The sequence below is a fragment of the Homo sapiens genome, chromosome 13, assembly GCF_000001405.40.
Source record: "Homo sapiens chromosome 13, GRCh38.p14 Primary Assembly".
Taxonomy (NCBI): Eukaryota; Metazoa; Chordata; class Mammalia; order Primates; family Hominidae; genus Homo; species Homo sapiens.
Genome location: NC_000013.11, coordinates 108,321,886 through 108,344,595, shown reverse-complemented (window position 1 = coordinate 108,344,595; position 22,710 = coordinate 108,321,886). Strand labels below are relative to the sequence as shown.

Genomic DNA, 22,710 nt, shown 5'->3' with positions numbered 1-22,710 from the left:
CCAAAGAAGAGCACATCCTGAGGTAGTGGGGTAAGACCTTGACCAGATCATTTTCGGAGGGACAAAATGCAACTCATAAAATGCCTGAAATGGGCTGGGCACAGTGGCTCATGCCTGTAATCCCAGCACTTTGGGAGGCCGAGGTGGGCGAGTCACTTGAGGTCAGGAGTTCTAGTCCAGCCTGGCCAACATAGTGAAACCCTGTCTCTACTAAAAATACAAAAATTAACCAGGTGTAGTGGAGCATGCCTGTAATTCCAGCTACTCGGAAGGCTGAGGCAGGAGAATGGCTTGAACCCAGGTGGTGGAGGTTGCAGTGAGCCCAGAATGTGCCAGTGCACTCCAGCCTGGGAGACAAAGTGTTTCAAAAAACAAACAAACAAACAAACAACAACAAAGAAACAGTGATTTATACAAGATAGAAATTAATGAAATTAATTCAATTCATTCTTTCTCATGGAATTCAGGGAGGGTATATCCACAGCTGGTTTACTGTTCTACAATATCCTCAGAGAGCCAAGTTCTATTTTGTCTCAGTTGTGCATGGTTATCTTTTCCAAATTCATCTCATAAATCAAAACTATTACTCCAGCACCAGGTATGATGCTATTCCAGCTAACAGGAAATGGTAATGGGCAAAGAAGAAAACAGTAAAGAACAGGAGCTAGATAACTTTTAGGGAAGTTTCACCAAAACTGTTCACATTTTCCATTACCTTCTGTTGCCTATAAGTATATCAAATAGCCACATCCATCTTCAGGGTGGGACACTGAGCAATGTAACCTTCTGAGAAGTAATTAACCTGGCATAAACTTCTGTTACCAAAAAAGAAGAGAAAGCATATTGGAAGTTGCCTAGCAAAATGTGCCAGGCTGAAAATACTCCAGAATTATAGGCTGTGGTCTCTGCTTTTTGATTGGAAGTAACGATAAAAAGATTCTAAAAAGATGTTGCTTAAATAAATCAAAGGAAAAACTGTCTAACCTGAGGGTTACATCAAATCTGATTGTTATTTCTGAAAGCAAGATTTCTTCTTTATCAAACATCTTCGCATGCAGTGTATGTGTTGAAAATGTTGTCAAAGGAAGACTCAGAGACAGAGTCACTTAGAAAAGAAAAGGTTTTATTTGCAAGGAGTTCTAGGGGAGTCAGACTTCAGAAAACCTGGCTCAACAAATATAAAACATAAATATTTTTAACAGTTGCAAATCACAATGTTTAGTAAGTTTATAGTAGTCTACACTTTCAGGAAAAAGCAATTTCTCGTGCAGTTATGATATTCACAAAGTTCATAATATGTATTCAGATATCAATATGTAAAAAATCGGGAATAAAATTTTTTGTCATGAAGTCCATATTTATGCAAAATAGTCAAGGTTTTATTATTTTAGGTATCAGAACCAGTAAGAATGATCTGTTATCTCTTGGCTTATCTCAAGGTACACAGTATTTTTTTTTCAGACTGTTGCGGCCCAGGAAGTTCTTAGTCATAGCAAAAGCAAGGCAAAGTCAGTTTTTGTTTCTACATTGTCAGACAAAATCTCAGTTCCTTCCTCTATGCTTCCATTTTTCCTTTTCTCTCCTAGGTAACAAGGACAAGATATCGAAATTGATCTTCGTCTTAGAGAGTTTTGAAAGCTCAGGTCTCCCTTCTTTGGCCTTTAAGATAAAATATTAAGATACCAATATTACATGCCCTCCTATACTCCTTGGTTTCCAAAATCATCAGCACTTACATTATCTCTTGCTCTACTGAAATCAACCACCTCAAAGTCCTGGTGATTTCCTTCAGTTCCTTAGAAGAAACAAGTGTGTCAGGAAAGGGAAGGAACAGTGACCCCGCCCAGGGCTACCCAAAACACAAAACAGGTAGAACATGAGGCTAGGCTTAATCACAATTACATTACCATCTTCTCTTTTTAAAGAGACAATTAATATATTATATGAGTGTTTGAGATGACTGCAGTTCCTGAGAAAGAAGCTTTCTATTATGGGCTACTTAGGAGTCGGAAGAGTCACTGCTGGCTTGCCCCATCTAGTGGTAATCACTGAAGAGAAATAAAGCAGCCTTTTGTGTTCAAAATTAAGAATCAGGATGCGATTGAAGCCAAATGTTCTCCTGCCTTCAGTTGCTCTTTGTTAAAAATTAAGCCACATAAAAAAGTATATTAATTTTTTAAGCAATTGGAATTTGGGTGAGTGAAGTTCAAGACCAATGCTCAAGGATTTCTTCTAATATTAAAATTAGTTGAGAGATAATTGTCAAAGGTCATCAGAGCTCACAATTAGTTTAAACAAATAATTACTTCCCTTTTATTGTACCCCATCCCTCTTCTCAGAAAAAGTTATCTTTGCTACAATGTTGTAATACTGGAAGTTAGATTTCTGCTCAGTAACATTTTACTGTCACTGATGTTTGGCCTAAGGGCCCATTGTTTGTTCAGGCGCTGCTAAGGGCTTAAACTTCTTAAACAAGCAACAGAATATAGGGAATGTCCTGCAATCCGAAAATTGTTCTTAAATCCTAAATTTCTTTTCTTATAAATCCCAAGCAAATGATTAATTTATCCTAAAATACAACCTCTCTAGTGAAAAAGAACTCTTTATGATTACTCCAATAATGAAAATGAATTCTTTAAGATTACTCCAATTAATTGATGCTAGTTACAAGAAGCACTGGATTAAGAAATAGCATATGATTAGGCTGAAAGCAATTTAGTGAAAGCAATTTGGCTTATTGGAATTGAACTGATAGTAAGATGTTCAACATAAAACCTAATTGAAAATGAATATTCTTCAAATGGTGTTGTTTTTTTAAAGTACAGTGTTTGTAAAAATGATTTTTTAAAAATATGTAGGTGCTAGTAAGAATTTGGAGGGAGTGATTTCTATTTATTCCTTCTAAAAGTATTTTTTAATGTATATTCATTTATTGCTGCTTTGTTCTCTTTGCAATAACAAAAATGTGAAAAATACTCAGATGCCCAAACACTGGGAAGTCTGAATCTCTGGGCAGTTAGTGTTGTGGGTGTTTTTCTGAGAGGTGGATAATTTTATTTCTCTACTACAGTCTAGAAAAATAAAGTTAAATCCGTTTTTTAAATTTCTTTTTTGAAAAAGAAATTGAAGATACTGATAAAGATCTGAAATTTGAAGAAATTGTTTAAATACAGAGCTACAAACTCTAGTGACACACCAGAAGAGTCACTATTCAGAGAATATATGTGTATGTTATTATTTTGACTAAATTGTCTTGGGGCCCAGTTTACACTTGACTAAACACTATTGATCAAATCACCTATGGACACATTGGGATGAACTGAAAGGCCTTAAGGCTCAGCTAGAGAAAACCATTAGATTGATAGGAGATCTCAACAGTGACTGAAAGAGGCAACTGAGTTACAGTATTCCACCAGAGATGAGAGGGTTAATTTGCTCACCCACTCCACTAGAAAATAAATTGTATTTCTACAAACAAAGAAAAAATGTTCTAGGAACAAATCTTGTCATCTTCATGATGCAATAAAAATAACAAATAAATCACGTAGTTCCCCAAGCTTTAGCCTTTGTTGGGGAATATAAAAACCAGAATTGAATCCAACCGAGAAATCCTCTCCACAAAGTTAGTAGAGAAAAAAAAAATGGTTTTATCATTGAATGAGCATTAATTGAGAAAGTGATGCATGTGACAGGTGATCTGCTAAGAGATTGCAAGGACAGAAAGAAACCTCACCCTTTTGTATAGTCACGGATACACAACCTACATACTCTCCAGCATAACAACCATTAGTCTTCAAGTAAGAGGGCTCGGTGGTAGCATTTATTACACGTAATTCATTTAAATCACCTGGTATTTGGGGTGACCATCTATGTTACTTAATTAGCTCTATATAAAGGAAAAATAAACTCTCTTATCTTTATGACTGGAAGCAGTTTAACAACCTGGAACAAGGTGCCCACCTAAATGAAGTTCCTACCCTCCCACAGCAAATGAGAGACAGGGTCGTCATCTTCCTTGTTGTTTACATTTCCAAGCTATGGCTCCTAGGTCTTTGAGAAAGACACTTCCAGGTTGTGAAATTGGCCACGTTAGCTTTTAAAAATATTTACCTATCTTTAGAAAAGACAGAGAAAGAATATACAAGTTTTCTGGACAAAGTGCTCTGAGACAATGAGGGTGGGGTGGTCGGTAACGTTTTCTCTTATTTTTAACTGGGAAAGTGAAGGCTCCTACTTTTACTTTTTCTTTGCCCTTCCACCTCCTGCTTTTGCTTGTCAGAAGAGGAAGACCTTTGATCACATGTCAGCCATGGACAATAAACTATGGACTATTATCCATAGTCTATGGATAATAGGTGAGAGAAAGACCAAGCCAGGATTCCATCTAAAGGGCCATAGAAGCCCTTGTAATAACTCAATCTGTATGCGTACTAGAAATTATTAATTAACATAAGGGATGGTACAAATAGTATTTCATCGGAGAAATGAGTGGTGTACTTGATATATGATTGCTGAGGATAGTTATGTACCCCTCTTGGCTCATCTGATAAGTGTATAACGCCTGTTGAGTGAGCAGATTAATCTTCTAAAATGGTGCCAGAGGTCTAAACCTTTGGTTAATCCTTTGGCCTAAAAAACTTCAAACAATTTGGTATATTCTACCTTCAGAACTTTTTGAATTTGCACCCGAGTAAGTCTTTCATACATACTACTTACCAAAGTACACAAAAGGATGGAGAATTGGTTTTATGTCTGTATGCAGATTGCAATACTCGTCTTTGCAGTGCACCTCCTGGTAGACAGTTTGCTGGGGCAGGGGTGGGCTGCCTACCTCTAATTGTTAGTAACTACTGAAGTGCGTAAAAAATGATATGACACATGTGAGTTGCCAATTTCATTTAGGCCCATTTCCAGCAGATGTATATCTATCTCAGGAAAGGTTTAATTTATTAAGTGATGAAGTAAATGATTGGATATGCCAATACAAAATACTGAAGCGCTCTTCAAAATCTAAGAGAGTGAGCAAAGCTTAAATGTTTTTTACAATTATGCTAATCATAAATAAATCAAAAAATACATATACAGAGAGAAATAAAGATGGTTTCACAAATTTTAAATCTACCAACAACTAGCAATGAAAATCTAAAAAGACAAAATGATACGGCTTTTACAATTATACTTAAATTAGTATTATAACTTAAATGATCCTCATACCTTCATTATTTCTTTTTGTATACATGTAATAGTTACATACAAAAGCATCTACAGTTTTGGTATGTGGATTTATATATTTCAGTAATTATATAAAATTTTGTTAGCTGGTATGAACTGAAAACTCAGTTTCTTGGGCAGCAGTTCTGGTCTCAGTCCAGATATTTTGTCCTTAGCTGATATACTTTGAGTTTATTCTTCCTATGCATGTTTCGGGGGTCAGTCAGAGCTGTGGGTACGTTGATTTTGGACATCCATTCTTGGGTTGTTTCCTTTGAGAATTTCCTAGTTTCTTCAATAGCTCTTTTCTGGTTTCTTATTTATCTAGCAGAAAGATGCTAGATTTTTTTCACATGTGCCCCACAACCCCCAAAGAAAAATTACCTAGGGAGTTTCTTTTTCAAAAAAATTGTATAGATTTAGGAAATATGTCCAAGTTCAGTTTTGTTACACGGATATATTGAAGTCTGAGCTTGGAGAGTACTCATCACCCCAATAGTGAACATTGCACCCAACAGGTAATTTTCCAGCCTCAGCCCCCCTGCCACCCTCCCACATAACTTAAGGAGTTTCTACCTCCCCTTCTCTGAGCAAGCCTGCTCTCCCCTGGGGATTTGTCTGCTTCTCTTCACCCTCCAGGGCATCCTGGTTGCGGCTTTTGTTCATGTCCAGCTTTTGTAGTTATTATCACTTATTTTATTCTGAAGCTTTGTCTGGTAGAGATCTAGTCGATTTTAGTAGACACTTAATATTGACTTCTGTAAGCAGAAGTTCTCCAACTCTCATTCTGACAGGCAACTCTCATCCTTATCATACATCTCCAAAGGAAAAAATATATAAACTATAGATGGGGGAAAAAAAGCAAAGTGCATGTGCCCCAAGCTTCTTAATTAAAACATGTAGCCAATTACATTACTTCATTAATTAGTCATGTTCTATGATGTTTGAATCCAAGAACCGGCATGGGAGAAATAATTGTACTTATTAAATTCATACAGGCATGGTATTAGAAAATAAGTCTTACATTTTAAACAGAAGACACAATCTCTCACAATGACTACTCATGAGAAATGAAAAAATAGCACCTTTACATCAAACTTTTTGTTATCTGAATTGTAACTTATGTGGAGTATTTACTAAGCTTATTGACAAGCTCTTTTGAACCACTGTGTTGACACAATGAGAATTATGGATATAGGAAACAACATAGAATGCACAACAAATTCTTTGTGGCCATTTCAACTCTCTCTGTTTACTTGAGATGTGAAAATTATTTTACCCTCTAGATAAGACCTTAGCTAATGTGTAATGTAAGTGCCTTCATCTATTTACAAACTAGCATCACATATAGAAAGAAATTGGTGTAGGGCAAGAAAGTAGGAATTTCACACCTTTTTGGATTTTCTTGTTAGAGTTTATGATGGGCTTTATTTAATTTTCTCAATCAAGAAACATGAACTGATCTCTTCTGTAAGTAAAACACTGTGCTAAGGAATGAGGACAGAAAAGTGAACGAGACAGAAATAGCCTTTACCCTGATCAGCACCTGTCTAGTGACAGAGGCAGACGCATCGGCAAAATAATTGCCTGACCACTGTGGGCAGGAAGCGAACTCCGTGTTTTATCAGCTTGTCTCTCATTTGCACACCAACCCTCCTATAAATTAGCATCCCTGTTTCACAGATCAGGAAACTGAGACCCAGGAAATTTAAGCACTTGCTCAAGTATGCAGATCTAAAATGAGCGCAGTTGGAATTCAAACCAGTTTCCTTGGACTCTAGCTCCCACGCTGCTGTCAGGATAGAAAGCTGCTCTTCAAGCACATAAGATACACCGAATATGTAAAAGTAAAGCCCTGTGCCATTTCAGAGGAAGGGTTAAGGGACTCCAATTAGAGAGATGTGCAAAATCTTCATGGCCAAGAAAGTAATTTCCTATATAAGCAAAAATACTGGTGTCCAATTGAAATTAATCAAAATCAAATACAAATTATTCCACCCCAACTGCCATTTTAGATACATATACATGCTTCTCCGCAATTATAAATTCATAGCTGGTAAGTTCAAAGAAAAGTGTGTGGGTGAAGATTTACAGAAAGCTTTTTCTAGTTAAAGTGTAAAATGTGGATGGTCCTTAAAATATCAAATATTCCCTGATTCATCACATTGTTTTGGTCTGGTGCATTAATTTAAAAGAAAATGATGATTTGAGACTTTAAGATAAATAAAATAACACAATCATTAAAGTTATAATATTTCTAGATAATAGTAATCTAATCATTAAAATTCTACCATTTCCATGGTTTTTTATTAATACAATTCACAATACAGATGAATTCGTTTACTCCTGGTGATGCATGGCTACTCCAGTTCAAACAAAAGTAAGCGAAATTCAAAAAGGCTGCCTCTAGGGCTCAGGACCTATTAAACTTAATTCATTATTAAACTCAAAATCTAATTAGAAATGGAAAGAAAGAAAAAGAAATGTAGATGCATTTTCCACCCTGAGTTAAAGCAGTTGGTTTAGGAAACAATGTGAAGGCCATAATAATTTAAGCTTAACCGGAGCTTCTCATCCAAAAACTTCAATGAGATGAGGCTTGCAAGTATTCAATTTAAAGAAAATGCTTTTTCGCCATTCAAAGGGCAGAAAATGAGGCTCTGAAAATCTATCTCTCAAACTCTCGTACTGGCTCACAGACAGCAGAGTGAGGGTTTTCAGGTGATGGGACGGGGGTGTTGGAGAGAGGTAGGGAAGGACCAACCTACCATTTCATAATTTCTGCAGCTCATGTTCAATAGTACTGCAAACAGTTCACTAAATCATTAATTACCTGCAATCTCATTCATTGTGATCTTTATTAAACTGCTTAAAAAATAGAACTATCAAGGGCTTTACCAAAGAAGGCCATTGGGACTCTGTTGATTTCCACATTGATTTGATGGGAGAAGAGGATTGACCGATAAAGCAAAAGAATCCAAATCCTCCCTTTGCTCAGCACACATTAGCTCACATGACCGTCTTCACATTATACGGACCAAAAGAGGACTAATCACGTCCATTTTCTTGGCCAGTCTGTATCTGGCAACCAGACTGTTTCCTGAGGCACAACCAACATTCAGTGATGGATAAATGAGTGTGGGCTTCTCCACTGAGCCCTGGCCAGACTGCACATCACAGTGTAACTGACTGGTGTTTTCTGGAGGCTGTCAGCCACTCACTTGTGACAGGAGAGCTTGCAGACAGAGCGATGGATCAGGTAGGAGGACCTGCTCAGCCCCTGGGCTGCCTGTGTTGCTGGAAAAAGGGTGGAGAGAGAGAGGAGAAGGGACTCACTGCTGGCAACAGAAATCAAACTGCACATGGCACAAGTTATTCCTGGACAGCAACACAGAGATCTGAGGCAAATTTCCATGAGGAAGAAGGAGACGAAAGAGGATGAGAGCATTTAGCCCTGAATCCAGCACACTCTGTGCAGTCAGTAAACTTATCTAGCACACCTTACAAAGGAAATAGTCTCAGGCATCATTGTACTTTTCTTCACTACATTTGACCTCTGCACCATCTTGAGATTTTTCCAGCCTGCCTCAGCTAGAGCAGTCCTCACACTGCCTGTCCACACCCTTCCAGCCCTCCAGGACCCCACGTTGCCTCCCTCTTCTCCATCTTCAAACCCCTTCTCTGGCTCATGATTTCAGCCTGTTAATGTGCCAGAGATGCCCCTCCAGCTACCGCTCCCGCTTCCTTCATCATCAAATCAGTTGAAATATGTTACCTTTTGCCATCAAACCACTTGAAATCATGTGCCTTACCTCTGTTTTCTCCAGCTCTCACCCATGACTCAGCTCATCACAGGGAAAAATCTTCTAAATCCACATTCACAAATGTCTACTTCCCACAAACGTCCTCTTTCAACCTTTGTGTACTTGGTGGTGGCTGTCTTCCCCAGGCCTCTCTCCTCTCCTGGTTGCTGGGTGTTAATGTTGAGAAGGTAGATAGGGCTCTGCAGCATATTTAGTGAGGGAAATGCTGATGTCACCAGAATGCTCTGACTAATGGTAAGGTAGCCGGTTACACTTCATCTATACTTCCTAGAAAAACATCCCCCTTGTCCAAAAAAAAAAAAAAATGCCTCAACTGGAGCCTAGTAGATACAGAACAGAAAAAGCTAATGCTGCTTCTTAAAGACCGCACTTTGAATATTCAAGATAACTCCCATGCCTCCTCCACCAACCACCAAACCCATTTCCCAAGTCTTTTCTCTCTCTTTCCTTCTTTGTTGATGGTGATTCCTTAAATTAGTGAGCATCTAAGTCCAGCATCAAGATCTATACCCTCCAATGTTAAGCTTATCATCTTTGGAAGAAAACAACCTGTCAAACTATTTTTTTCTCTAAATAAAACATACTTTATTTTATTTTTTATTTCCATAGGTTTTTGGGAAACAGGTGGTGTTTGTTTACATGAGTAAGTTCTTCAGTGCTGATTTCTGAGATTTTGGTGCATGCATCACCCCAGCAGTATACACTGTACCCAATTTGTACTTTTATATCCCTCACTCTCCCTCCCACCTTTTCCCTCAAGTCCTCAAAGTTCATTGTATCATTCTATGCCTTTGCATCCTCATAGCTTAGCTCCCACTCATGAGTGAGAACATACAATATTTGGTTTTCCATGCCTGAGTTACTTCACTTAGAATAATGGTCTCCAATTCCATTCAGGTTTCCATGAATGTCATTATTTCATTTTCATGGCTAAGTAGTATTCCATGGTATATATATACCACAATTTCTTTATCCACTCATTGATTGATGTGCATTTGGGCTGGTTCTATATTTTTGCAGTTGTGAATTGTGCTGCTATAAACATGCCTGTGCCAGTATTTTTCTCATATAATGACTTCTTTTCCTCTGGATACTCATGGTGGGATGGCTGGATCAAACGGTAGTTCTACTTTTAGTTCTTTAAGGAATCTCCACATTGTTTTCCATAGTGGTTGTCCCACCAACGGTGTAAAAGTGTTCCCTTTTCTCCACATCTATGCCAACATCTATTTATTTTTATTTTTACTTTTGGATTATGGCTATTCTTGTAGGAATAAAGTGGCATCATATTGTGGTTTTGATTTGCATTTCCCTGATCATTAGTTATGTTGCACATTTTTTCAAATGTTTGTTGCCTATTTTTATATCTTCTTTTGAGAATTGTCTGTTCATGTCCTTAGCCCACTTTTTGATGGGATTGTTTGTTTTTTTCTTGCTTATGTTTTTTTCTTGCTTATTCCTTTTAATTCATTGTAGATTCTGGATATGATTCCTTTTTCAGATATATAGATTGCAAAGATTTTCTCCCCCTCTGTAGGTTTTCTGTTTACTCTGCTGATTGTTTCTTTTGTTGTGCAGAAGCCTTTTAGCTTAAGTCCCAGCTATTTATCTTTGTTTTTGTTGCATTTGCTTTTTGGATTCTTGGTCATGAAGTCTTTGCCTAAGCCAATGTCTATAAGGATTTTTCTGTTGTTATATTCTAAAATTTTTATGGTTTCAGGTCTTAGGTTTAAGACCTTCATCCATCTTGAGTTGATTTTTGCATAAGGTGAGCTATGAGGATCCAGTTTCATTCTTCTACATGTGGCTTGCCAATTATCCCAGTACCATTTGTTGAATAGGGTGTCTTTTCCCCACTTTATGTTTTTGTTTGCTTTGTCAAAGATCAGTTAGCTGTAAGTATTTGGCTCTATTTCTGGGTTCTCTATTGTGTTCCATTGGTCTCTGTGCCTATTTTTATACTAATACTATGCTGTTTTGGTGACCATGGCCTTACAGTATAGTTTGAAGTCAGGTAATGTGATGCCTCCAGATTTGTTCTTTTTGCTTAGTCTTGCTTTGGCTATGTGGGCTCCTTTTTGGTTCCATATGAATTTTAGGATTGTTTTTTCTAGTTCTGTGAAGAATGGTGGTGGTATTTTGATGGAAATTGCATTGAATTTGTAGATTGCTTTTGGCAGTAAGGTCTTTTTCACAATATTGATTCTATCCATCCATAAGCATGGGATGTATTTTCATTTGTTTGTGTCATCTACAATTTCTTTCAGCAGTGTTTTATAGTTTTCCTTGTAGAGGCATTTCACCTCCTTGGTTAGTTGTACTACTAAGTATTTTATTTTATTTTATTACTTTTTTTTGCAGCCATTGTAAAAGGAGTTGAGTTCTTGATTTGATTCTCAGCTTGGTCACTGTCGATGTATAGTAGAGCTATTGATCGGTGTACATTGATTTTGTTATATTGAAACTTTGCTGAATTCACTTATCAGTTCTAGGAGCTTTTTGGATGAGTCTTTAGGGTTTTCCAGGTACACAATCACATCATCAGCAAACAGCAACAGTTTGACTTCCTCTTTCTCTTGTCTGATTTTTCTGGCTAGGACTTCCAGTGCTGTGTTGAATAGAAGTGGTGACAGTGAGCATCCTCGTCTTGTTCCAGTTCTCAGGGGGAATGATTTCAACTTTTCCCCATTCAGTATGATGTTGGCTGGGGTTTGTCATAGACGGCTTTTATTACATTAAGGTATGTCGCTTCTATGCCAATTTTACTGAGGGTTTTAATTATAAAGTGATGCTGGATCTTGTCAAATGCTTTGTCTGCATCTACTGAGATAATCATGTGATTTGAGTTTTTAATTATGTTTATGTGGTGTATTACATTTATTGATTTCTGTATGTTAAACCATCCCTTCATCCCTCGTATGAAACCCATTTGATCATGGTGGATTATCTTTTTGATATACTGTTGGATTCAGTTAGCTAGTAATTTGTTAAGGATTTTTGCATCTATGTTCATCAGGGATGCTGGTCTGTAGTTTTCTTTTTTTATTATGTCCTCTCCTGGTTTTGGTATTGGGGTGATACTGGCTTTATAGAATGATTTAGGGAGGATTTCCTCTTTTTCTATCTTGGGAATAGTGTCAATAGAATTGGCACCAATTAATCTTTGAATGTCTGATAGAATTCAGCTGTGAATCTATCTGATCTTGGACTTTTTTTGTTGGCAATTTTTAAAATTACCATTTCAATCTCGCTGCTTGCTGTTGGTCTGTTCAGACTTTCTATTTCTTCCTGGTTTAATCTAGGAGGGTAGTATATGTCCAGGAATTTATTCATCTCCTCTAGGTTTCCTAGTTTATGCACACACAGCTGTTCATAATACCCCTGAATAATCTTTTGTATTTCTGTGGTATTGGTTGCAATATCTCCCATTTCATTTCTAATTGAGCATATTTGGATTTCCTCTCTTCTTTACTTGTTAATCTCACTAATGGTCTATCAATTTCATTCATAAAGAGAACCAGCCTTTTGTTTCATGTATCTTTGGTATTTTTTGTTTTGTTTGGTTTTAATTTCATTCAGTTCTGCTCTAATCTTTGTTATCTATTTTCTTCTGCTGGATTTGGGTTTGGTTTGTTCTTATTTCTCTAGTTCCTCGGGGTGTGACCTTATATTGTCTATTTGTGCTTTTTTTGATGTAGGCATTTAAGGCTATAAGCTTTACTCTTAACACCGCATTTGCTGTATCCCAGGGGTTTTACTAGGTTGTGTTACTATTACCATTTAGTTCAAAGAATTTTTTAATCTTTATCTTGATTTCATTGTTGACCCAATGATCATTCAGGAGCAGGTTAATTTCCATTTATTTGCATGGTTTTGAAGGTTACTTTGGGAGTTATTTCCAATTTTATTCCACTGTGTTCTGAGAGAGTACTTGATGTAGTTTTAATTTTCTTAAATGTATTGAGACTTGTTTTGTGGCCTATGATATGGTCTAGCTTGGAGAATGTTCCATGCGCTGATGAACAGAATGTATATTCTGCAGTTGTTGAGTAGAATGTTCTGTAAATATCTGTTAAGTCCATTTGTTCTTGGGTATAGTATAAATACATTGTTTCTTTGTTGACTTTCTGCCTTGATGGCCTGTGTAGTTCTGTCAGTGGAGTATTGGAGTCCCCCACTATTATTGCGTTGTTGTCTATCTCATTTCTTAGGTCTAGTAGTAATTGTTTTATAAATTTGGGAGCTCCAGTGTTAGGTGCATATATTTAGGATGGTGATATTTTCCTGTTGGACTAGTTCTTTTATCATTGTATTATCCTCCCTCTTTGTCTTTTTTAAATGCTGTTGCTTTAAAGTTTGTTTTTTTTTTTGTGTTACAAGAGTGGCTACTCCTGCTCGCTTTGGTGTCCATTTGCATGGAATATCATTTTTCACCCCTTTACCTTAAGTTTATGTGAGTCCTTATGTGTCAGGTGACAGCAGATACTGAAGACAGCGGATACTTGGTTGGTGAGTTCTTATCCATTCTGCTATTCTGTATCTTTTAAATGGAGCATTTTAGACCATTTACATTCAATGTTGGTATTGAGATGTGAGGTACTGTTCTATTCATCGTGCTATTTGTTGCCTGAACACCTTGGGAGTTTTTTATTATTTTTTATTGTGTTTTTTTTATAGGTCCTGTGAGATTAATGCTTTAAGGAGGTTCTATTTTCATGTATTTTGAGGATTTGTTTCAAGATTTAGGACTCCTTTTAGTAGTTCCTGTTGTGTTGGCTTGGTAGTGGTGAATTCTCTCAGCATTTTTTTGTCTGAAAAAGACTGTATCTTTCCTTCATTTATGAAGTTTAGTTTTCCTGGAAACAAAATTCTTGGCTGATAATTGTTTTGTTTGAGGAGGCTGAAGATAGGGCCCCAATCCCTTCTAACCTGTAAGGTTACTGCTGATAAATCCACTGTTAATCTGATAGATTTTCCTTTATAGGTTACCTGTTGCTTTTGTCTCACAGCTCTTAAGATTCTTTCCTTCATCTTGACTTTAGATAAGCTGACGACTATGTACCTAGGCAGTGATCTTTTTGCAATAAATTTACCAGGTATTCTTTGAGCTTATTGTATTTGGATGTCTAGATCTCTATCCCAGCTGACAAAGTTTTCCTTGATTATTCAAGGAAAATACGTTTTTCGAACTTTCACATTTCTCTTCTTCCTCAGGAACACCAATTATTCTTAGGTCTGGTTGTTTTACATAATCTCAAATTTCTTAGAGGCTTCGTTCATGTTTTAAAGTTCTTTTTTATTTTGTCTTTGTTGGATTGGGTTAATTTAAAAACCTGGTCTTCGAGCTCTGCAGTTCTTTATTCTGTTTGTTTGATTCTATTGCTGAGTGCTTCCAGTGCATTTTGCATTTCTCTAAGCATGCCCTTTATTTCCAGAAGTTGTGATTCCTTTTATTTATGCTCTCAATTTCACTGAAGATTTTTCCCTTCACATCTTGTATCCTTTCTTTGATTTCATTAAGTTGGACTTCACCTTTCTCTGGTGCCTTTTTGATTAGCTTAATACTCGATCTTCTGAATTCTTTTTCTGACAATTCAGCGATTTCTTCTTGGTTTGGATTCAATGCTGATGAGCTAGTGTGATCTTTTGGGGGTGGTAAAGAACTTGTTTCATCATATTCCCAGAATTGTTTTTCTGGTTTCGTCTCATTTGGGTAGGCTACGTCAGAGGGAAGATCTGGAGCTCAATAGCTACTGTTCAGATTTCTTTGTCCAACAGGGTGCTCCCTTTTTCTCTTTTTTTTTTTTTTTTTTTTTTTTTTTTGAGATAGAGTCTTGCTCCATCCCCCAGGCTGGAGTGCAGTGGCGCGATCTTGCTCACTGCAAGCTCCGCCTCCTGGGTTCATGCCATTCTCCTGCCTCAGCCTCCTGAGTAGCTGGGACTACAGTGCCCCCCACCACACCCGGCTAATTTTTTGTAATTTTTTTTTTTTTAGTAGAGATGGGGTTTCACCGTGTTAGCCAGGATGATCTTGATCTCCTGACCTCATGATCCGCCCACCTCGGCCTCCCAAAGTGCTGGGATTACAGCCATGAGCAATTGCGCCAGGCCACGGTGCTCCCTTGATGTAGTGCTCTCCCCCTTTCCTAGGGATGTGGCTTCCTGCGTGTTGAACTGTAGTAATTGATATGCCTCTTTTTGATCTAACCACCCAGAGGAGCTACCGGGCTCTAGGCTGGTACTAGGGGGTGTCTGCACAGAGTCCTGTAATGTGAACTGTCTTCATGTCTCTCAGCTGGGAATAGCAGTGCCTGCTCTGGTGGAGGTGGCAGGGGAATGAAATGGACACTGTGAGTTGTAGTTTTGTTTATTGCACTATTTTTGTGCTGGTTGACCTCTTGCCAGGAGGTGTTGCCTTCAAGAGAGCATCAGCTGTGATAGTATAGGGTGGATCAGGCAGTGGGTGGGGCCCTAGAGCTCCCAAGAGAATAAGTCTTTTGTCTTTGGTTACCAGGGCAGGTAGAGAAAGACCAACAGGTGGGAGCAGGGTTAGGCCTGCCTGAGCTCAGACTCTCCTTGACCGGGGCTTGCTGTGGCTGCTCTGGGGGATGGGGGCATGGTTCCTCAGGCCAATGGAGTTATGCTCCCAGGGGGATTCTGCCTGCCTCTTCTATGTCATGCAGGTTGTCAGGGAAGTGGGGAAAGTTGGCAATTACACCCCTCACCCAGCTCCCCATGCAACTCAAGGGCCAGTCTCATTCCTACTGTGCTCCCCTCAACAGCAGGGAGTTTGTTTCCAGACAGTGGGTGAGCAGGGCTGACAACTTGCCTCAGGCTACCAGCCTCCTGGCTGTGAAAGCAAGCAGGGCTTTCAGATCTTGTGCCTCCCCACCTACTGCAGCTTCTGTGCTTTGTCTGCACTCCTGATTCACCCCCTTCCCTGAGTTCTGTCCAGGAAACTTTGCGTTCCATTGAAATTGTTACAAAATTCAGCTGGAAGTTTCCTTCTCCCTGTGGTCTTTTCCCAGTTCTTCTTGCAGCCCTCCCCAAAGACCTCTGAGAGAAAAAGTCAGAAATGGCTTCCCTGGGTACCGAGAGAGCCCACAGGGTGCTTTCTGCTGATTCTTCTACCTTTGTATTTCACTCAGCTCTCTAAATTGTCTCAGCTTTAGGGAAGGCCAAATCCTTCTTCCGTGATCTGGACCGTCAGGATCCCCAGTGAGGGTGCATGTTTGGGGATGGACGGGCCCCCTTGTATACTTTCACACTTTGGGTACTCACAGTTTGGGGGCTGCCTCCTGGAGCCTGCAGGAGCAATCTGCTTCCTTCAAAGTGTCTGTGGATTCTCTTGGCTCTCTTGGTATTTTCCTGTGGTAGTTCTTGGAGCAAAAGTTCGCGATGTGAGTCTCCACATGCTGCTTTTTCCATCCAAGTGGGAGTTGCAATTTAGTCCTGCCTCCTAGCCACCATTTTCCTCTAGAAAAAAACAACATGTCAAACTTATTACCCAAGAGGAAACACTAGCTGACAGTATAAAGAGCTTCAAAGAATTTAAGAATTAATGGATAGTAGATCCATAATAGATCACTAAATAAAACCACAGTGGTGGCTGCAAACTCCTGATATTCAAGGTTGACATTGGGAGCCAGGAAATAAATCCCTGGAGGTTGTAAGCAGAAGCAGAACCCCCGGAGTGTATGCAGCAGAAACCCACACGGATGGATATATTGCTGTGGGCTGAATTGTGCCCCCATCCGTATTTGAAGCTGTAAACCTCAATATGATAATATTTGGTGCCACAACCTTTAAAGAGGTAATTTCGGTTAAAGGTGATAAGATTGGGCACTAGTCTAATAGGATTAATGTTGAGAAAGAGACAGCAGAGACGCAGCACAGAGAAAAAGCCTTTTGTGAACACAGCAGGAGGAGAGCAATCTGCAAGCCAAGGAGAGAGGTCTCAGAAAAAAACAAACCCTGGTGACTCCTTGCGTTCAGATATCTGGCTTCCGGAACCATGAGAAAATAAGTCTCTGGCTGAGCATGGTGGCTCACACCTGTAATCCCAGCACTTTGGGAGGCTGAGGCAGGTGGATCACTTGAGGCTAAGAGTTTGAGACCAGGCTGGCCAACATGGTGAAACCCTGTCTCTACTAAAAATACAAAATCAGCCAGGCGTGGTGGCAGGTGCCTATAATCCCAGCTACTCAGGAGGCTGTGGCATGAGAATTGCTTGAACCTGGGAGGTGGAGGTTGCATTGAACCAAGATCTTGCCACTGCACTCCAGCCTGGGAAACAGAGTGAGACTCTGTTTCAAGAAAAAGAAAAAAAAAGAAAAGAAAAAGAAAAAGATAATAGGTCTGTTTTAGTTAAGCCATCCAGTTTGTGGTATTTTGTCATGGCAGTCTTCGCAGATGAATACATATACCATACAACACAGTATAAACATAACACAATCTTATTAGCTGATTTTACAAGCAACTCACGACAATGAGGGCAATCAAGAAAACAAGGAGTGGCATTAAGGCAAGCATTTTTTCTTCCTATTTGAATTATTATGAATGCTATCATTGATGTAAAACATGGGAAATTCCCTATAATGGAGCTCACAAAGCCAATTCGCCAGCAAGCTGCCAATTAATGAATATTTCTGTAGTTAAAGGATCATCAGTTTCTGGCCTCAAATTTCTCCTAATTGGTGTGAATAATAATAGGAGGATAAAGACAGCAGGGTATGCTCTGCATTTCCAAAGAGGTGAGAAGAGAGGTGACGGACTTGAAGTGAGGGACTCAGTTCAAATTGCCTGGAAGTGGGGACCTTGTCCTCACCATCTTTGTATCCCCAACTCAAAAGCTTTACTGAACCCAGCTATTCTAAAATTAATTTGATGAGTGGCTAAGGAATTAGATTAACTGGTACTAAGCGTTAAGCTTCAGAGCACACTATGAAACTTGGCAGAGTGGTGAGGGCCCACCGCCGAGATCCAGTCAGGAGGCTCACCAAAGGGTGACACGCAGAGGCTGCCACTGCAGTGTCCTTGCTTTGTCTTCTTAGGTAAATAAGTCTTTGCTTCTCACCCTCCACCCCCTTGCTATAGCCCTATGTGGAAACTACTTCCTGTTTTAAACAACTCACAGCCACAGCAGAACAAAAACGATTCACAATCTCTGAGTGCCTAGAAGTGTTTCATATTGTATAATACGTGAAAATGAGAAATTTAAAAGCACTTTTAGAATTGGGAGATGTTTTCTTCATTGAATATGTTATATAATCATTATTTCATTTATTTAATTAATTTTTGAGAACAAATACAAGAATTTATGTTTGCTTAGCATTTGACAGTTTTAAAACACTATGCAGACATTGTTTTTGGATCTCTATGCAGTTCTGTAAGGAACAAAGATTGGAATTTCATTCAGATTTATGGATAAGAAAGCTCAGGGGGAAAAGAATAAGGGAAGAGCAGCCCAAGGCCACTTAGTGAGCTTTGCACCCAGAGCTTCAGCACAGACTCCTGGGCAAGACCAGGAAACTATTTAAGGAAAGCAAAGCTTATTTAGATGTCAATTTACATATTTGCTGTTTTTCTTCCTGTAAGAGAAATAATAGCTCTCAGGATGTAAATGTGCCACTTCAAGGCAAAATAGGGTAGCCATAAGTGATAAACTGTCTAATATATCAAATTCATGGTGATATGAAAGTGTCAACAATGATATTTGCTTACTGGAGTGTGTGTGTGTGTGTGTGTGTGTGTGTGTGTGTGTGTAAGTATGAATATTTTCCTCCCAGAACCACTGCTAGAAACACAAAAATATTTTGGTGGGAAAAAAAATGTAAGTAAATGTTGGCTGGTGAGACTCAGAGAGGGCAGGATACGGTGAAAAGCATATCCTGCAAAGCAAAAGACCAGTGATTGCCTTGATACCCTGGAGACTATGGAGGCAATGGGAAAAGAAGAGAGGTAAAGTGAGGAAAGAAGCCAGGGAGATGTGGGCCACAAGTCCGTAGAGGTGATTGTCATCTGGGAATGTCATGAACCCTCATGATCCTCTGAATTTTCAAAAAAAAAAAAAGAAAGAAATCACAAAATGCTTAAGAATGGTGGATTTGAAATATAACTTGATGAGTGAGATTAAGCCCTGCATCCAGGCTACAATAGGAGAAGGAAAGAGTGTTACGACAAGGAAAAATAGAAGCAAAAGGAAGCATGATGAGGTAGAGCGCTGGGATGTTAGGGACCATGGAATTAGATTCCGGAAAAGGTACGCAATTTCTGAAAGGCAGGGAGGCTCCAGATGGCATACAGATGGATGGATTGGTGGGCGGACAGATGGAAAGATGAGTTGATGAGAGGCAGACAGATCAATAGTTAAATGGTTATCACTATATTAGACTTAGATGCATTGGAAATTAATGTATACCTAAGAATAGTAAGAAGATTCTGAACATCATGAAAAGTTTCCGAATTTAAGCTAGGGAAGGCCTGAAAGAAGTCATTCAGTTTGATAGTTTGATATTAGAAGGTGTTGGTGATCTCAGCACATTTTGAGAAAGATTGGCTCCGTTGGTGAGGCACCCACGATGTCACCCATACACCTTTTCTTCTGTGGGTGTCCTTTGATTAAGCAAACTACGGAACACTATTTCTCTTTCCGTGGAACATATCTAGGCCAAAGTGATTAAAATGAGGATAGTTGCACACTAGATCTCACTCCTGAAGTTTCATTTTCCCTTCCACAAAAGAAAAGGCTAAAATTCTTTTCTATGTGAAAGTTACAGCAGATTTTAAAATGTGATTCTTTAAAAAACCATCTCATTAGTCACTGACAGTAAAAAATCACCTCCTGTTGGTCTCAATCAAACATTTTAAAGGCTATATCTGATTTTACAGTATTTAAAATCTGTTCTTAAACATTTACTATTGCTAGCCCATAGCTCTTCTTTTTTCTTGCATTTCTAAGTAAGCATTAGTGTCCAGAGTAACACAAATGAAAAACAGACCAATATCAGGGGCTCATGATCATAACTGGTCTCAGCTGAGTATGAGCGGCCTGTGATGCAAATGTAATGAGTGCTTAGGACAAGGGTGATGAAGCAGAAAGCTTAACAAACTGCACTCAGATTGCCTGGCTCTGCATTCTAGATACACTTCACACTAGTTTTTGAGACCTTGGGCAAGATATATAACTTCTCTATGGCACTATTTCCTCATCTGTAAAATACAGTTAATAACAGCATCTGCCCCATGAGTTGTTACAAAAATCAAATTAGATTTAAATAATAAAAAGTCATGGATGAGGAAAAAAGTCTGCAAAACTCATATCTGACAAAGAACTTGCCTCCAAAATATACAAAGAATTCTTAAAACTTAACACTAAGAAAACAACTCAATGAAAAAGTGGGTAAAAGATCTAAACTGGTATCTCACCAAAGAAGATATACAGATGGCAGAAAAGCATATGAAAGATGCTAACATCATATGTCACTAGAGAATTGCAAATTAAAACAACAATAAAACACTTCTCTTCACCTGTTAGAATGTCTTAAATCTGAAACAACAATATTAAAGGCCGGTGAACATGTGGAGCAATGGAAACTCTCATTCCTTGCTTGTGGGAATGCAAAATGATAACAGCTACTTTGGAAGGCAAGTTGGCAGTTTCTTGCAAAGCTAACTGTAGTCTGGCCATCTGATCCAGCAGTCGTGCTACACAGTATGAGGTTATTTGTCCAAATAAGTCAAAAACTTACATCCACACAAAATCCTACTTTTACAGCAGCTTTATTCATAATTGCTGAAAATTAGAAGCAACCAAGATGTCCTTCAACAGGTGAATGGATAAACAAATTGTGGATTATGCACACAATGGAATACTACTTGGCAATAAAAAGAAATGAGATATCGAACCATGAAAAGACATGGAGGAACATTAAGTGAAGATTGCTAAGTGAAAGAAGACAATCTGAAAAGGCTACATACAATTATTGCGACTGTATGACATCCTGAAAAAAGCAAAATGATGGAGGTGGTAACATATCAACGATTGCCATGGGTTTGAATGCGAGGAGAGAGGATGATGAGGTAGAGCTCAGGGGCTATCTAGGGCAGCGATAATATTCTGTATTACTGTAATGGTGGATGCAGAACTTCATGCACTTGTCAAATCTCACAGAACTGTACAACACAAAGTGATTCTTAATGCAAACTATGGACTTGAGTTAACACATCAACGTTTTTCAATAAGCATAAAAATGTTCATTAATTGTAGCAAATGTACCAAACTAATGCAAGATTTCATCAATGGGGAAACGGTGGGGTTAGGAAACAGGGAGTATGTGGAAACCCTGTGCTTTCTGCTCAATTTTTCTATAAACCACAAACTTCTCTAAAAAACTAAAGTTGACTAGTTTTAAGAAATTAATTTTTAAAAATTAAATTAGATAATAGATGAAATTGTGTTAGAGCAGTGACTGACACATAAATAGCCTAAAAACATAAACAGAAGGAGACAAGTATGTGCTATGTGTAGGTGTCAGGATACATCAATAAAAACAATAGTTAAAGGGCAGGTGTATCTCATTGTACATCAGTCAAGGATGTGCATATTTTGGGCTGAAGATAAAAAAGTGTTCATAATCTAGAAAAGGATTAGGAAGTCAAGACATTGAAGAACCAGAAAAAATTATGTCAGACGGAGGAAAAATCCCAGTAACCGTTTCCTGGGAAATCCAGGCTAATTTGAGGAGGAGCTGTTTAAAGTCAAAAATGGAAAGAAATTCTTATAAAGACTGAACCAATTTAGGGTAGACCTTGCCCTCTAACCTCCCTCTCTACAGCTGCTATCTGCCATCATCCCTTCTCTTTGCCCCCAAGGTCTGGAGATTGTAAGTGTGTCAAAGTCCTCAGGTACACAACTGATTTGGAACTGAACTGGAACCATGGGTTCCAACAAATAGGAAAAAGTAGAAGCTGCCATGTCGTAAACTTTCATTAGGCATGGCATATGGTTTTAAGAAACACTTAAAGTATCTGTTTGGTCTCTTAATATTCTTTCAGTTCATGGTTTTATAAATTTTGGTGTTTGTCTATCATCAATTTAATTGCGTTTAAGAATAACCCAGACTGTACACTTTAGTTGTTCAAGTGCTTCCCTCTAGTGGTGATACACATGTACATCACTGTAAAGGAAGGAATAGGCTACATTGTCTAACCTGAATATTTTGTGGGTTTGTTTCCAAATTAATGTGGCATGTACAGTTAAATAGTTTCATGACTAAAAAAAAAAATCTGAATTTCAAAGTAATCTCTTGGGAATTTGGCAAATACTATCTGGCCAGGTGATCATGTACCCTGACTTGATGAAATATGTAAGATATTATTTTCCAAAAGACATATAACCGCCTTCTAACCATAAGAAAAATATCAGATAAACCCAAACTGAGAGTCACTCTATAAAACACCCAATACTCCTTAAGGCTGTCAAGGTATGAAAAACAAGGAAAGACTAGAAACTGTCAGAGACCAGGGGATGTTAAGGAGACATGTCTGTTAATGCAATGAGGTACAGGTGACTAGACTCAGGACCAGAAAAAGAACATAAGTGGAAAGACTATTAAAATCCAAATAGAGTATGGCATTTAGTTAATAACAATGTATCATTGTTTCTTAGCTGTGA

At 38.4% G+C, this 22,710-nt stretch overlaps 1 long non-coding RNA gene across 1 annotated transcript in view, besides 2 other annotated features; it reads right to left on the bottom strand.

The window, feature by feature from the left end:
• The window catches only part of LOC105370355 (uncharacterized), a 37,253-nt gene extending 20,686 nt beyond the window's left edge, over positions 1 to 16,567 (bottom strand). Inside the window, exons 1-2 of the long non-coding RNA XR_007063863.1 lie at positions 16,317 to 16,567; positions 9,024 to 9,214 (exon numbers count right to left, since the gene is read on the bottom strand). This is a non-coding gene — a long non-coding RNA (uncharacterized LOC105370355). The remainder of the gene's footprint in view (positions 1 to 9,023; positions 9,215 to 16,316) is intronic.
• Positions 9,043 to 9,212: an enhancer, noted in NCBI's record as "experimental_32209 CRE fragment used in MPRA reporter constructs". NCBI's record gives its function as "activates a minimal promoter by MPRAs in K562 erythroleukemia cells, with activity observed for both the introgressed and non-introgressed 13:108987817 variant alleles {active_cell/tissue: K562}" and the evidence as "EXISTENCE:reporter gene assay evidence [ECO:0000049][PMID:34662402]".
• Positions 17,345 to 17,977: an enhancer, noted in NCBI's record as "NANOG hESC enhancer chr13:108978967-108979599 (GRCh37/hg19 assembly coordinates)". NCBI's record gives its function as "activates a minimal SCP1, AML or CMV promoter by ChIP-STARR-seq in primed H9 embryonic stem cells {active_cell/tissue: H9 hESC(primed)}" and the evidence as "EXISTENCE:reporter gene assay evidence [ECO:0000049][PMID:30033119]".